At 46.2% G+C, this 16,500-nt stretch overlaps 1 protein-coding gene across 7 annotated transcripts in view; it reads right to left on the reverse strand.

Moving 5' to 3' along the window:
• The window catches only part of MTOR (mechanistic target of rapamycin kinase), a 156,017-nt gene that overhangs the window by 19,321 nt on the left and 120,196 nt on the right, over window positions 1-16,500 (reverse strand). For all 7 annotated transcript variants that reach the window (XR_007058581.1, NM_001386501.1, NM_004958.4 and 4 more), the window contains 12 exons: window positions 13,678-13,803; window positions 13,449-13,580; window positions 8,496-8,611; window positions 7,225-7,342; window positions 4,674-4,922; window positions 3,883-3,983; window positions 3,000-3,096; window positions 2,599-2,697; window positions 2,149-2,271; window positions 1,769-1,951; window positions 1,155-1,289; window positions 767-941 (listed from right to left, as the gene is read on the reverse strand). Coding sequence is in view for 6 of the 7 variants with exons in the window: in NM_001386501.1 (NP_001373430.1) it covers window positions 767-941; window positions 1,155-1,289; window positions 1,769-1,951; window positions 2,149-2,271; window positions 2,599-2,697; window positions 3,000-3,096; window positions 3,883-3,983; window positions 4,674-4,922; window positions 7,225-7,342; window positions 8,496-8,611; window positions 13,449-13,580; window positions 13,678-13,803 (1,654 nt within the window). In the remaining variant the exon portion in view is untranslated. The remainder of the gene's footprint in view (window positions 1-766; window positions 942-1,154; window positions 1,290-1,768; window positions 1,952-2,148; window positions 2,272-2,598; window positions 2,698-2,999; window positions 3,097-3,882; window positions 3,984-4,673; window positions 4,923-7,224; window positions 7,343-8,495; window positions 8,612-13,448; window positions 13,581-13,677; window positions 13,804-16,500) is intronic.

Below are 16,500 nucleotides of genomic sequence, written 5' to 3' on the forward strand. Positions count from 1 at the left end.
CATGGTGAAACCCCAACTCTATTAAAAATACAAAAATTAGCTAGGTGTGGTGGTGCGTGCCTGTAATCCCAGCTACGCGGGAGGCTGAGACAGGAGAATTGCTTGAACCTGGGAGGTGGAGGTTGCAGTGAGCCAAGATTGCGCCATTATACTCCAGCCTGGGCAACAAGAGCAAAACTCTGGCTCAAAAAAAAAAAAAAAAAAAAAAAAAGCGAGAGGCCTCAAAGTGCCACCACAGCACTCAGGCCTCACTAAAACATCCCCCATAAGTAACACTCTACCCCAAGGGAAATTCCAGAGCCCACTTGCTTAACAAATCTCACTGTGAGAATCCACTTGTTCATTTTACACAATCATTTACCACAGAGACTATGATGGTAAAAAAAAAAAGAAAAAAATTTCAAGAGCCAGAAGCCCCCGTTTCAGAGGAGCTAGCACCTTCCCTGCTTGCACCCAGCTGCCTCCTCCCTGGCCTCATCAGTCTCCAACACCTGCCTTCCACTGTTACTTCTCTGCCTTGCATGCCTTTGTCATTCCCTTTATGTGTGATCATGCTTCACATAAGCCCAACTACATGAATGAACTAAGTCCTGAGGACATAATGAGAAATTTGCTTGCCCTCTATTTTCCTCTCAATGAGCATGGGAGAGATGTAGCTATGATAGGTGAGTAGTGGGAATGGCAAGCAGTAATTTCAGAAGAGGGAAGGGGTCTCAGCCAGTGTAGGAGGGAGAAGTGGGTGACAGAAGTGCACAATGGTCCTTACCCATAAGTGTCAATTTCCGGGGCCTCTGCTTGGATGTGATGACTTGCAAAGACGGTGCTATGGACTGAATGCGAATGATTGGCTGGTTGGGGTCATATGTTCCTGGCACAGCCAATTCAAGGTCCCGGCACATCAGAAGTTTTGGGGAAACATATTGCAGCTCTAAGGATGTGAGCTGTAAATAATTACCAAAGGATTTAGTGTTCTGCCTCCAGGGAAGAATTTAAACGCAATTTAAGTATTTTTCAGTGGATTGCTAATAACAATTACTTGTCCCAAAGCAGAAGTAAAACCAGATGCTTTGGAATGAGTGTTAGAACATTCATAGACAGTAAAACAGAAAGGACTATAATGACAGTTAACCCTGCCAGGAGCCTGAAGATCCTACCTGAGGCAGCTGCTTTGAGATTCGTCGGAACACATGATAATAGAGGTCCCAGGCTTGGGTGAGGTCCTTGACATTCCCTGATTTCATGTACTTCCTGCACCACTCTTGGGCCTCCATTAAATCTCGACCATAGGCCTGAGAGAGAAAGCAGGCACGTTTTCAAGTTATCAAAGTCTCAACCAACCCAGGAGGCAAAATCCCCAGGCTGACTGCAGATATTCCTCAGGAGCCCGCTGTGGCCTGAAAACACTGGCAGGGGGCTGGAGAAAGCAAGAGCATAGGTGCAGGCCTCCAACCCTGGAGCTTCCAAACCAGCAGCATGGCTTATAGGGAAGGAAGGGTGAGAGGAGAGACGAGATGACCTCTTGAGAAATCTTGGGCTTTTCCAGTTAAAATTCAGAAGGGTCCCTGTAACTAATTTCTGATGTTTTATGCTCTGTGACCTCCATCAGAGCTCGTTTTATTAAAGTCAGTGGAAAGGCCAGAGGAAAAGAAATCTGACAAAGGCCTTGGGTCACGTCCTTTCATTCTATAAAAACTTTTCTCATTTCATTTTTTTTTAGTGGCAGAATATTTCTACAGGGTTATGTCCTTTCGTGTTTTTTACCCCATACCTGATTAAAGGATGTTTCCTTCAGAGTCTGGGGGCCCCGTTCCATCATAGCATGCAAGGGCTCCAGCACCTCAAACATGCCTTTCACGTTCCTTTCCCCAAAGTACAAACGAGATGCCTCTTCCAGGCCTTCATGCCACATCTCATGCCAGAGGATGGCCACTCGGATCAGCTCCTCGCTCACCTGAAGCCAAGAGAAGAAGGAGAGAAGCATCAAGAATCAGCTAACCTCAGAAAGGTCTGTTTTGGAGACACAGGAGGTACTATTTCCAGCAGTCAGAGGAAGTGCACAGCACCAATGCGAGGAAGAAAAACAATCCCACTTGCGCCCACCAGCTAAGGGACCAGGGTCTATGAAGCCCCACAGTGGCTCCGACCCACCATCATGGCCTGCTGGACCAGGGTGTTGCTGTGCTCACACATGTTCTTCAGAATCTTGTTGGCTGCATTGTGCCGGGCTGTCGTGGTAGACTTAGAAGCCACTGTCAGTGGGTAGATGAGGGCCTGAGGGAAAAACAGAAGAAACATCTATAAAGGAAATGTGGGTTGGGGAAGAGCTGGTATGAATTTTAAGGAGAATAACAAAACAAGTGGTGAGTGTGACATTAACATCTGCTTGAGACTACCAGGAAGGGGCTCAGTCTTCGAGGGAACGCTTTCTTTTTAGCAAGGCTCCCGGGCCCTCTGGGACGGCTGGCTGGACAGACCCTCCTGGGCCAGGATGGAACACATGGCTCCCAGTTCCTGCGCTTGTGTCGCCAGGGCAGCTTTTGGAAAGGCTGACCACCAAACCAGTGGTTAGATGAGAAACTGCCCAGAGTCTCCACATACCTGGGGGTGGTACCGACCAATGTCTGTGAGAAGCTGGTGAATGAGACGTCCCACCAAGGGTCTGGGCGTATCAATTCTTGCAATGAGCTGAGGTATAACCTGGTATTCAAAAAGACACAGTATGTAGCATATGAGACTTGAAACAACTAGTTATTCTTCTAGGCAAAGATCAATTCTTTTAACTTGTTTCGGTTGATGCTCTGAAATGGTTCATTCCCTTCCCTTTAGTTTCTAAAAGAAAATAAAGAAAATATGGACACTTGACACTGGGACCGAGCCCTACTTCCTTAGCACTGTATTAACACACACTGCCTTGTGACACTGAACACAGCATGCTTGTAAGAGGAGACACACAGAAGAGAGACTTGGAGCCACCTTCACCTGTAACCAAGTATCCTCACCTGTAGCCAGGTATCAATCTGGATGGCTTTCACCCCCTCCACTAAGGCCTCATTGACATCTGGCCAGTGACCATAATCAAACCATAAGGTGAGAACTCTGAAAAAGAAATGAGAAAGTCACAGAAAATTTAGTTTCCCAGTTTTTGCCTGCCTGTTTTTCATCTCTAAGGCTCCTGAGAAGAGAGCTGGCAGGGACTCCAACCAGTAACTCTCAAATGTGTTTGGCCTCCCATGGGAGCAGGTGTCTGTGATGGGTGGCAGTGCTCTTGACTGAACACCGTAAGAGTCACCCTGAGCAAATGAGCATTTCATCCCAGGTCACCGAGGGGTCACCATGGCATGTATGCAAACATCAAACAGACGAGCCAGGATAACCTTTAGAAAGCCACAAGTCTGCACATGTAAGAGTCGCTGTACGGCAGAGGCAACAGGGACACCTGGCTCTTAGCTGGCTGGAGATCCTCAAATGAAGGAGGATGTGGACCTTGTCACCTTTACCCTCTGGGTTAACTGATTTGAGTCATTTGTTTAGACCTCTCCAAGTTGCTGAGGGATTTTAGAAATACTGTGACTTCAATAGGCAACAGGGTGGTCAGAAAAAAAGAAATATTGTGATTAACAGATGGGTTAATAATCCCTCCATAATAAACCACACATGGAGAGTTCTCACTCCACTTCTCCTCCTCACTCTCTGTAGGTTTCACCCACACAGGTGGGGCCCAGTCAGCTGTTACTCCTTAAATGCAGTGCAGAAAAAAGGCACATACATCGATCTTGGGTGTCCTGATCAGGGTCAGGAAGGGAAAGAGGACTTTTACGTGTGACTTCTAGGTCTTGCCATTAACATGGCCTACCAGAGTTGCATCCTTCCCTTCTCTGATACCTGAGTGTATCCTGGAGGTTGTTGCCTCGTGACAAGGAGATGGAACGGAAGAAGCCCTGGACGGCAGGCACCGTGTACATCAGGAGGGTTTTGGACAGATCCTGTTGGAACACACACGTGTTAGCGACACTCTTGCCTCTGCTTTCTCATCTGTAAAATGGGCATAAGAGCATACTAACTGTACCTACTTCAAAGGGTGGTTATAACAATTAAATCGGTTAATGCATGAAAAATCTTTAATCATTACCTGGCACATAGCAAAGACTCAATAAATGGCAACTGTATCATAACTGTTATTATCTTGGGCTGACAGTGGCTTCCTGAACAGGATGGAGGGAGGAGGTGGAGCTGAGGCTCTGAACACCCGGATCTCTGGGCCTGCCAGCGGCCCTGGCGCATTCTGAACTGACAGCCCAAGGGGAAGGGGAAGAAGTGGAAGTGGAGAGAAAAAGGCAGAGGATGGACCTCCCAAGCCCCATCCTCAGAGTGGACCCGCAGCTGTGTACAGCCACCCACACACAGGTGCAGCACGTAGAGAATGAGCTCGTCCACAGGGAAGCTTGACAAGGAGCTTGCTCTTCAGCATAGAGGCTGCGTCAGCTCCCCAAACACAAATATTCACACACAAAGCCCTATCTCAGGCAGTGCTGGATGGTAGATAGGCAGTATTTTCCAGCTCCATCTGGCACTTCAGATACAGCCTCAGGTTCCTTTTAAGCTTAACAACGATTCCATTTCTCAGAGAGCCTGGCACCTTGGTTGGTTGTTAATAAGGAAGAAGGGAAGGGTACCTCAGTGACCTTCTTCTGCAGCGGCGATGGGGTGGGGCTGTTCTCGGTGCTCTCGGCCTCGCTCTCACTGTTGCTGCCCTCGGTGCTGGCAGTGGTGGTGGCAGTGGCGGCCGTGGTGGCGGCAGTGGTGGCGTTGGTGATGTTGGCCCCGCTGGCATGACGCAGTTTCTTCTTCTCATCGCGGGCTTGGTTCTGATGTTTGTAGTGTAGCACAGCTTCGAAGTTCATCACTGCCCACGCATGCCAGGCCTGGTTGGGGAGAAAGGCAAGGACAGACACTGGAGCTGTGACCAACAGCAGGGCTCAGAGGAGCGCAAGGTCGATGCTGAGGAACAGCTGCTCCTGCCTGTTCTGTGTGTCCATAAAGCAAACACTTCAAGGAGACACTCAGAAATGGCTGTTTTACTAAATTCAACATGATCCACTCACTTTGTGGAGCACTAACTATATAACGTACTATGAGTGCACTGCGAGAAGGGCACAGCAAGAGGAGCAGGAGAGAGCTCTTGCCTCAAGGGATCTCCCGGCCTCCTAGGGGAGCTCACGCACAAACCTGAAGACCTAGGTACTCTGCAAGGCACAATGGGAGTAGCAAGGACAGGCATTTGGAAAGCTTTGTCAAGAAGAGGGATTTGGGGTAGGTCTGGAAGAGAGCTGCAGAAGGGCAAGGAGGGAAACAAGAAGGCAGCGGTGGGGACTACTTGGCAAGGGGGAAGAATAAGGCCAGAGATGTGCAGATTGGTTCACGGGAAACAAGCCCATGAATGTGACCGTGCAGGGGATACATGCAGGCGAGGAGTGAGAGCGAGGCCAGCAAAGCACGCCTGGAGCAGGCACAGGGCTGGCACTTTCACCCAGAAAGCAGAGCTGCACTGGGTATAAAGTGTACATTTAGGGGAGAGCAGAAATGGCAAGCAGAAGTGGGGGCAAGCAGCAGTCATCACAATATTTCAAGGGAGCAAAGTTTTGACAGGTCACCAGATAGTGGACAAAGGAAGACATGAAGAGCATAGGAGCCTGACAGAGAAAGAATCTCACCCATCTGCCTGGTCCCAACACCTAGCCCACGGCCTGACAGAGAACCAGTGCTCAATGCTTGAAGGAAGAACCGCTGGTGCTTATTTGGATAAAGGAATACTACTCTCTCTGGGGTTCTGAGCGGCAATGACTCTACAGCGTACCACCACTTGGTTTAGCGAGTGTGAGGCAGAGTTTGCTTCCAGGCATGGTAACTTTGCAGTGATAGTAGGACACTACGTGACCCATTAATAGCTGAACTTTCTGAATAATTGGGAAATTCGTTTGTATGCCTTGCCAAAAACCTTGAACACAGGTGTATCCGTTTTCTCAACTAAGGAGAATAGATTGATCACAACTAACCTTTACTTGATGAGTAAGAATTCTACAATGACCCAGGTTTCAGTTTTCCCATACCTTCATTTATTCACTGAATATCTCTTGTGTATCTGCTATGTGCCTGGCAATGACCTGGGGTCAAGGTGAACAAGACAAACAGTCCTGGCATGCATACAGGGCCATGACGTTGATGGTAGAATACATCATAAAACAAAAGGGACCCACATTAGGAAAAGCTTTTAAAAACTAAAACTAAAGTTCCTGAAACCAACTTTTTTCTTGTGATTTGCTTACTTCCTAAAAGCTTAATGAATGAAAGTAACTCTGGTTAGAATACAACTCTGATTAATAAGCTTCCAGTTAATAGTGTTTACCGGATGTATTTTCCAGCTTTGGACATGCAAGCTGTCCTAGAGAGAGTATTACTCTTATGACAAAATGGACATTTTTCAAACCAGAATGAAGCATGCCTAAACAAAGGTAAGATCTGTATTATAAGTGCTTCTGCAGTCCTCAGATACAAGTTTAGATTTCAGAGAGATTAATTCACAAAGTATTGGCAAGCCAAGGAAATACTGGAAAGATGTCAATGACATCTGCCACACCAAGTAGTTACCAGAAAGCCTCTCAAAAAGAAATAAGAAAGTATATTCTCACCAAAGATATACACTTCCAAAAATCACCCCTCCATCAATCACATCTTTTATATATTTTCTAATTCTGTTTATCTCTTTCAAAAGTTTCCTGTAACATAACAGGATGTTACTTGGATCTTTCCAATAAAAACAAAGAAAGTTAAGTTCTTAGCTGAGGAGCAGGCAAGGATGCAAATCAGAAAAACGCTGAACAAGAACAGATGACCTAAGGGAAGATGTCACTCCAGAGATTAACCATGTGTCCAGATGCTCCCAGGAAAACAAGCAGCTCAGAGTCTGTAAGACAGCAGCAATCCCCAACACCACATACACATAATAATGGTGTAACAAGTATTTCTCCAATAATCTTTCTGTATTAATTAAACTTGTAGGGGGAAATGCAGGCTCCCTGGGCCTCTTATAGATAGGCTCCAGGGACTCAAGGAGTAAGTTCACAGCATCAGCCTAGCTCCGCAGAAGCTCAGCTGTAACCACGAGCACACAGGAGGACACGAGCCAGCCAGGGTGCTGGGTCTCACAGGTGGCCTGCTTCTGATCACCTTGTACCAGCTGCGGTCGTGCTCTGTGGCGGCGCTGTAGTACTGCAGCACTTTGGGGATTGTGCTCTCATTGATGCCCTGTAGATTCAGCTGCCACTCTCCAAGTTTCAGGAAGCATCTGGAAGCAGAGAAACAAGCCCCCATGACATTCCCTCCTCAAAACAGCCCTCCTAAGAGGACCACAAATTGTTAGGGGACACTGAAGCCCTTCTGGTATTTCCTCTTATTCTCAAGAGGCAATGTGAAGGAGCTAGCAAAATTTTCAGCCACACGCAAGAAAGGAGATGGGCTTTTGGAATACATTTTTAAGATACCATCTTTCCATCTTGACCTTTGTCTCTCAATGACAGCATAAACCATGTACCTGGTACAGATAGGTCTGTATGGACTTACCTACCCCAAACCCAATTTTTTGTGGGTGACAGTTGAGAGTTACTTCTTTATTGATTGCTATATGGCTTCTCCCTTACTTTTCCCTTTGCCTCCATTCTTTGTAATGAGATTAGCCCACATTTACTGACTGCTACTGTATTCCAAGTGCTGCTTGAAATGCTTGGCATTGTACTCTTTGCATTAATCCTCACACTACTTTATACCACCCTAGGAAATAGAAACTGTTACTATCCCTTTTATATTGGTAACTGAGGCATAGAGAGGTTAAGTCACTTCTCTGAAGTCAAATATCAAATCTGCAGCACAGAGTGGCACAGTGGCCCACACCTATAATCCCAGCATTTTGGAAGGCTGTGGAGGGAGGCTGGCTGGAGCACAGGAGTTTGAGACCAGCCTGGGCAACATTAAACTTGTAGGAGGAAATGCAGGCTCTATGCCTGTTCTTTTGTAGAGACCTCATTTCTACAAAAAACTAGCCAGTGTGGTGGCACGTGCCTATAGCTACTTGGGAAACTGAGGTGGGAGGATTGCTTAAGCCCAGGAGATCAAGGCTATACTCTAGCCTGGGTGACACAGCAAGACCATCTTAAAAAAAAAAAAGGGAGGGGCAGCATATCTGACATTTGAAAACAAGGACTCTAAAACCAGACGCCAGGAGAACAGCACATGGGTGCTCTTGGGCTGCTGAACCTAGGAAAGCAAGTGGCAGAGACTTTGAGAGCAGTATGCTTTGGTGGTTGCCTGGGATCCCTACTGGAAAAGGAAAGAGAGATGTCAGCAATCAGCCACCCAAGAAGCCTTGAACTCCTCCTTGCTGCAGAAGCTGCTGGGATGACAGGGCTGGAATATGACTTGCCCCAGGTCAGTGGGGACCTCACCGGGCCATGAGCTTGTGCAGTTCCTGCTTATGCTGCTGGTCCTCAGTAGCGATGGCATGCTGGGCCTGTTGCTGCATGGTCTGGACAAAATGCTGCATGTGCTGGAAGGCATCGATCTGTAACAGGACAAAGGCACAGAGAGCCACTTGGCTTGTGGCCCAGCTTCAGAGGAAGGGAGCTACCGTTCATCTGATAGGCATGAGTCAACCCCTCTCCAAACAGAATACCCTAGAGCACAGAATGATGACCCCATAGGACAGAGGACCAGGGCGTGATACTGGGAGAGACTGGGCTTTTCAAAAAGATTCATGACTTATTCAACTCAAGTCTTGGCTCTCCTTTGCCAACTATAATTACCAGTTTTATAAGCCTTGGCAAAGTTTCATGCCTGGCTACCCCAAATAAAAATTCCTACAAAGTAATTTGAAACAACTGCTTACTTCACTATCAATATGTTACCCTGGGGGATATTAGGCTTTTGGGAATTGTTTCAGGCTAATAAAACTTTGGTATTTGTTTACAACACCAGGGTACCTTGGACAGTCCAGCGGAGCAAAAACTATGGATTTAAAAATCATATAGCACCCAAATAAGAACACAGATTTGGAGTGAAAACCCGCATGCATTCACAGGGAATAGGGAGAAGATATTAGCTCAGCAGACATCTGGTTGAACAGGGTGACTTAGGGGCAAAATCTCCAGAGCATCCTAAAGCAGCTAGATCTATTTATACTACCGGCTTGTATACAAAGTGAGCAGAGGGCATGTGAGTCAGGAACAGACAGCTGAACTGAGGAAGGGCAGAGACAGAATCACAGATCTGGGACTACTGTACAAGCCCGCCACATCCAGTTGAACCAGCATCTTGATAAGTGCGGTCCATATCACTTTTAAAGGGAAAAACAAATCTTTTCTGGTTTTTCTAGAGGGGGGAAAACCCACAAATAGAAAAAAAAATAATAATAAAGGGCTTCAAGGATGGAGATAGAATGTACAAACATCAAAAGCTCAAATGGAAAAATGGCAAAATCTAAATGCATTAACACAGGGAAAGGAAACATTATATGAGAGAATGTGAAAAAGAGGCAATGTGTTCTGTGCTGCAGAAGAAGGAAAAAATCAAGACTTCAGATAAATAACAGTTCTCCTTATGGTAAATCATATAAGAGGTATTTTTGTTTGTTTTAAATAAAAACATGTTAGCCAGGTGCAGTGGCTCACACCTGTAATCCCAGCACTTTAGGAGGCCGAGGCGGGTGGATCACCTGAGGTCAGGAGTTCCAGACCAGCCTGGCCAACATGGTGAAACCTGTCTCTACCAAAAATACAAAAATTAGCCGGGCGTGGTGGGGCGCGCCTGTAATCCCAGCTATTTGGGAGGCTGAGGCAGGAGAATTGTTTGAACCCGGGAGGCGGAGGTTGTAGTGGGCCAAGATCGTGCCACTGCATTCCAACCTGGGCAACAGAGTGAGACTGTCTCAAAAAAAAAAGAAAAGAAAAAAGGCTGGGTGTGGTGGCTCACGCCTGTAATCTCAGCACTTTGGGAGGCCAAGGTGGGTGGATCACCTGAGGTCAGGAGTTCGAGACCAGCCTGGCCAATATGGTGAAACCCCGTCTCTACTAAAAATACAAAAATTAGCTGGGCGTGGTGGTGGCTGCCTGTAATCCCAGCTACTCAGGAGGCTGAGGCAGGAGAATTGCTTGAACCTGGAGGCAGAGGTTGCAGTGAGCCGAGATCACACCACTGCACTCCAGTTTGGGTGACAAGAGCGAAACCCTGTCTCAAAAAAACAAACAAACAAACAAAAAACATGTTAGTGATGATGGCCTTGAAGAAAATGAAACTCCCTAGCTTGGGGGCCAGGACCAACCTCAGATGCTTTTCAATATAAGGAATTAATTGGCATGAAGAGACTGGGTTAACCCAGAGCCAGAATGACATGACAAACAATTGATCAAGCAGCTAATCCATGCATGAGGACAGGGCAGGCACACAGATGTTCCAACACTTAACAAGACACCTGTCTCCCTCAGACATCTGTCTTCACAGGGATCCATTACTCACCACCAACTTTGAAAAATGAACTACAATAGCATCCCACACTTGGGAAGTGATAAATGTTCCTTTAATTTTAATTTTTTTAACTTAAATTTTTATTCCTTTAGAGACAGGGTCTCTCACTCTGTTACCCAGGCTGGAGTGCAGTGGTGCAATGATAGCTCCCTGCAGACTTGAACACTTTTGCTCAAGTGATCCTCCTACCTCAGCCTCCCAGTAGCTGAAACTACAGGCACACACCACCATGCCCAGTTAATTTTAATTTTAATTTTTAGTAGAGATGAGGTCTTGCTATGTTGCCCAGGTTGGTCTCAAATTCCTGGGCTCAAGCAATCCTCCCACCACGGCCTCCCAAAGTGCTGGGATTACAGGTGTGAACCACCCTTTAGTTTTTTTTTTTTCTAGGAGAACTACATTGACCAGTCTTAAATCTGATTTTTTTTTTTTTTGAAACAGAGTTTCGCTCTTGTCACCCAGGATGGAGTGCAGTGGCGTGATCTTGGCTCACTGCAACCTCTGCCTCCCAGGTTCAAGCGATTCTCCCGCCTCAACTTCCTGAGTAGCTGGGAGTACAGGTATGCATCACCACACCCGGCTAATTTTTGCATTTTTAGTAGAGACGGTGCTTCACCATGTTGTCCAGGCTGGTCTCAAACTCCTGACCTCAAGTGATTCGCCTGCCTCAGCCTCCCAAAGTGCTGGGATCATAGGCGTGAGCCACCACACCTGGCTTAAATCTGATTAAAAAAAAAAAAAAAAAAAAAAAGAATTGGGAGGCGGTAGTAAAAAAACTCAATCGCCAAAAAGGTGATAACTCAGTGTGATCATTGCATACGTCACGCAGGTAGGAGCTAAACTAGGAACTCTGATGGTAGGTGCTTTTCAGAGCCCATAAGCTACCTGTCATCAACAATCCAGACACTGGGTTTAAACTCTTTGGTGGACTTAATAAGGAGCTGAACAAAATATAAACTGCCAAAGCTGGGGAGGCTGGGTATTAAGTTTGGATTTGAAGCCCAATATTTCGTTTATCCAGCATAAGAGAATCCAGTATCTTTCTACTGTATAGTACAAGGCAACTTATTTTCAAGGAATTGGAAATTTTCTATTTAAAATTTGTTTTCTCCATCCCCAGGAAATGAAAAAAGGGAAAAGTGATTCTTTCCCTCTTATAAATGAAGGACCTGTCACTTGGAAGAAGGGGCTTCTCATAGACCCACAGGATTTTAGCTAGGCACAATATTCTGGTTCTAGATTGCATGGGTGGGTTTGTGGGCAAGAACAATGGCCTTGGCTCAGTGAAATTTTACAGAAGGACCAGCCTGTCTCTGGACTCTGTGAAGTGTCTTGTCTAGGAAAACATGATACATATACCCATAGCCTGATGCCTTCCAGGATAACAGGGTCTGCTTTTCCCACAAATACTTTCCTTTGCCTCAGGCGAGGCAGAGCATGATTCTTGTTTACAGTGGAGGAAAGTAAGGCTCAGTGAGTGTCTTGCTCAGTAGCACAATTATTAAGTAGTCAGTTTTCCTTGGGTAGCTCCTTAACTATGAAGATATGACATCTCTAGTTCTGGGCTTGAAGTCCCAGCACTTTAAATAGGTTCCTGATTTTTAATTCCACAGAATTTGGGCTACTAAGAAAGACTATTCCATGGAGAAGTTGGGCTGGGGTCTTATGTTGAAAGAAGCCACTCCTTGCTTGAGATATTACCCAAAAGACTTCTTCGGCCTGCCTTAGGCAAGACAGTCAAAGACTTGGAGGCTATACATAGGAGGGAAACCAGACTATACTCAGATCCAGCACCTTCTGTTTTTCTCATTTGCCTGGAGGAGGTCAGGCTTTGAATCAGAAATGCTCTGGCCTGGGAGGCTCACAGAGACTGAAAAATAAAACAAAACAACAAAAAAACAAATAAAATCTCCAAGCTGCATATTTGAAGAAGGAAACTTAGGTCATTGGTACTGCAGTAAATCCCAAAGACCAGGTGCCTGGGTACAGGCTGGCTGATCCCACTCTGGGTGGTATTCACAGCCACTCTGATTCAGTCATGTATAAAATTAGTCAATTTCTAGACCCAGTCCCCAGATCTCCTAAGTGTGCCTTCTGCAGAAACACAACTTCTATTTTATGAGATCTTCCCACAGCAGAGGCTCCAGTGGCTGGGTTTTATTCCTCTCTCATCTCAGGTACTTCACTGTGGGGGTCACAATGGGGAGAGAAGGCTAGTGAGACTCCCTCTTCCTTTTAAGAAGGAGGAAGGGGAAGCCAAAGCAGGTGATGACTTTGCCTCCAGGGCCTACTGTTTATTAGTCCTCAGCATCATCCAGGCAGATTGTTTAAAGAAAAAAACCCCCAAACCAGGAGCCACATCTATTTCCCAAGGGCTTGTCTGTACATAAAGTCAGAAGAATTCTACATTGGCTTCAAGATAACTTTCCCTCCTGGTTTCAGCATTATACCCTGCATGTTATTCCTTTTGAATCCAAACTGATGTCAGGAGAGGAGACAGAGGTCTGAAAAACCCAAATTGGTCTTGTGAAAGTTCTAGTCTGTGTATTTACAAATCTGCTCTTTTTTGTACCAAACAGTCCATCTTCTCTTAGGGGTAGAAAGTGTGCCCTTTCTATGTCCCAGCACTTTCTAGATACAAATACATATAACTGTGATCACATTCATTGGTTTGATCAATGGTATACACACCATCTCCTCAACTATGATTCACTCTATGAAATCAGGCCAAATAGCTTTGTAACAGGAAGAGACTCCCTGACATTGTGAGTAGGTGGTTTAAACACTGTTTCTTTTCTGGCCTTAAAGAGGCAGAGCGAAGCAGATTAGGCGAGCATTCTGGAGAAGGTGGTCTGTTCTGGATGCATTGGGATACAGACCTTGCGGGCACTCTTCCACATGTTTTTCATGTAGGCATAGGTCACCTGAGGGTGAACTGTTGGCAGAGGATGGTCAAGTTGCCGAGACGGATCAACTCCCAGGAGCAACACTAAAGTTTTATGAGCAAGAGCCTTAAAAATAAGAGAAACTGGGTTATAGACAGAACTGGACAGCCCAGGGACACCATGGGGCCCTACCTGCCCATGTGGGTGGGTGGTTGTCACTCACCAGCCTGCCACTCTTGCCGCACAGGCTTGCATACTTGAGCCAGGTTCTCATGTCTTCATGAGGGCTGACCACAAGGGACCGCACCATAAGGATTTTCTGCCAGTCCTCTACGATACGCTGGCAGCCCTGGAACATTCAGAAGTGAAGATTAGATATGTCTTCTGATACATTGTTTTTGTGGCAGAGTCTTGCTCTGTCGCCCAGGCTGGAGTGCAGTGGTGCAATCTTGGCTCACTGCAACCTCTGCCTCCCGGGTTCAAGCAATTCTCCTGCCTCAGCCTCCCGAGTAGCGGGGATTACAGGCGTGTGCCATCATGCCTGGCTAAGTTTTGTATTTTTAGTAGAGACGGGGTTTCAGCATCTTGGCCAGGCTGGTCTTGAATTCCTGACCTCGTGATCCAACCGTCTTGGCCTCCCAAAGTGCTGGGATTACAGGCGTGAGCCAGCACGCCCGGCCTTTTCTTGTATTTTTAATAGAGATGGTGTTTCACCATGATGGCAAGGCTGCTCTCGAACTCCTGACCTTAACTGATCTGCCTGCTTCGGCTCCCAAAGTTCTGGGATTACAGGCACGAGCCACCATGCCTGGCCTTCTGATACATTTTAACTTCCCTGCAAGCCACAGCCAATTCCACTGTGAAACACAACAGAGATTTGCTGATAGAATCTCAGCTTTCTCAGGTTAAGGGTACTGTGAGTGAAATACCCTTAGGCAGCAGTCCCCAACCTTTTTGGCACCAGGGACTAGTTTTGTGGAAGACAATTATTCCACAGATTGGGTGGGGGGCGGGGGGATGGTTTTCAGATGATCATCAGGCATTAGATTCTCATAAGGAGCATGCAACCTGGATCCCTTGCATGCGCAGTTCATAATACGGTTCATGCTCCTGTGAGAATCCAATGTGGCTGCCGATCTGACAGGAGGTGGAGCTTGCCCATCCCTCACCTCCTGCTGTGCCTCCCGGTTCCTAACAGGCTACTCACCGGTCCCCGGCCCCGGGTCTGGGGACCCCTGCCCTTAGGGGCGTCTCAGCAGTTTGAGAGATGGTATAGCATGGGTTTGGAGCTTGAATCCTGCCTCTGTCACTTGCTACCCTATGTGACTTTGGGCAAATCACTTAACCTCTGACAGATCTGTAGGGTGGAATAAAAATAGTACCAGTTTCATAGGGATACGGTGAGGATTAAATAAATTAAATGATTGATTTCAATTTATTTTGTGAATGGTGAATAACACATAATACATCTTCAACTTTAAAATTTTGTTTCAGTCTTTCTGGTTGAAGATGACTATCACTGATAAAGATATTAAATTTAAAATGTATCATTCAAAGTTGAAAAATGAATTAAATGTAAAGAAGTTTAAAAATTTTTGAAGTGACATTGTTTTTAAGTTGGTAGCATTTATATTTCTGAAGTTATTAAAGCCTAAACCTCCATTAAGACTTCTGAAAAAAAAAAAAAAAAGACTGTTGAGATGCCATGTATGTTGGCATCTTAGATTCTTTCTTCTTCATTTCTACTAGTCTCAGATCAAAAAGTATACACAGAAGGGGAAATGCTTCATTTAGTTACACTTAGAAATTCTTCTTTCTTTTTTTTTGATAGGGTCTCACTCTGTCACCCAGGCTGGAGTAAAGTGGTGCAATCATGGCTCACTGCAGCCTCAACCTCCCAGGTTCAAGCGATCCTCCCGCCTCAACCTCCTGAGTAGCTGGGACTATGGGCGCACATCACATCTGGCTAATTTTTGTATTTTTTGAAGAGATGGGGTTTTGCCACATTGCCAAGGCCGGTCTCAAACTCCTGGGCTTAAGCTATCTGCCTGCCTCAGCCTCCCAATGTGCTGGGATTACAGGTGGGATCGTTCTTGTCTCCCAGGCTGGAGTGCAGTGGCTCGGTCTCGGCTCACTGCAACCTCTGCCTCCAAGGTTCAAGCGATTCTTCTGCCTCAGCCTCCTGAGTAGCTGGAACTACAGGTGTGTGCCACCATGCCTGGCTAATTTTTGTATTTTTAGTAGATACGGGGTTTTGCTATGTTGGCCAGCCTGGTCTTGAACTCCTGACCTCAAGCAATCCACCCACCTCGGCCTCCTAAAGGGCTGGGATTACAGGCATGAGCCACTGTGCCTGGCCACAAATTCTTTATAATTAAAAAAAAAAAAGAAAAAAGGCGGGGCACGGTGGCTCATGCCTGTAATCCCAGCACTTTGGGAGGCTGAGGTGGGGGGATCACAAGGTCAGGAGATCGAGATCATCCTGGCTAATACGGTGAAACCCCGTCTCTACTAAAAAATAAAAAAAATAATAAAAAAAAAATTAGCCAGGCGTGGTGGTGGGCGCCTGTAGTCCCAGCTACTCAGGAGGCTGAGGCAGAAGAATGGCGTGAACTTGGGAGGCGGAGCTTGCAGTAAGCCGAGATCGTGCCACTGCACTCCAGACTGGGGGACTCAGCGAGACTCCGTCTCAAAAATAAATAAATAAATAAATAAATAAAATAAAATAATAAAAAAGTGAATTAATTATCAAAGGGGCTTAAGCTAATTTTACATCTAACAACTATAGAGAGTCAGGTTGGGGACGGCTGCCTAAGGGTATTTCACTCACAGTACCCTTAACCTGAGATTCTATCAGCAAATCTCCGTTGTGTTTCACAGTGGATTTGGCTGTGGCTTGCAGGGAAGTTAAAATGTATCAGAAGGCCAGGCATGGTGGCTCATGCCTGTAATCCCAGAACTTTGGGAGCAGAAGCAGGCAGAACTCCTTTTTTTTTGGAGATGGAGTATCATTCTGTCCCTCAGGCTGGAGTGCAGTGGCGCAATC

Source organism: Homo sapiens, chromosome 1, assembly GCF_000001405.40.
Source record: "Homo sapiens chromosome 1, GRCh38.p14 Primary Assembly".
Taxonomy (NCBI): domain Eukaryota; kingdom Metazoa; phylum Chordata; class Mammalia; order Primates; family Hominidae; genus Homo; species Homo sapiens.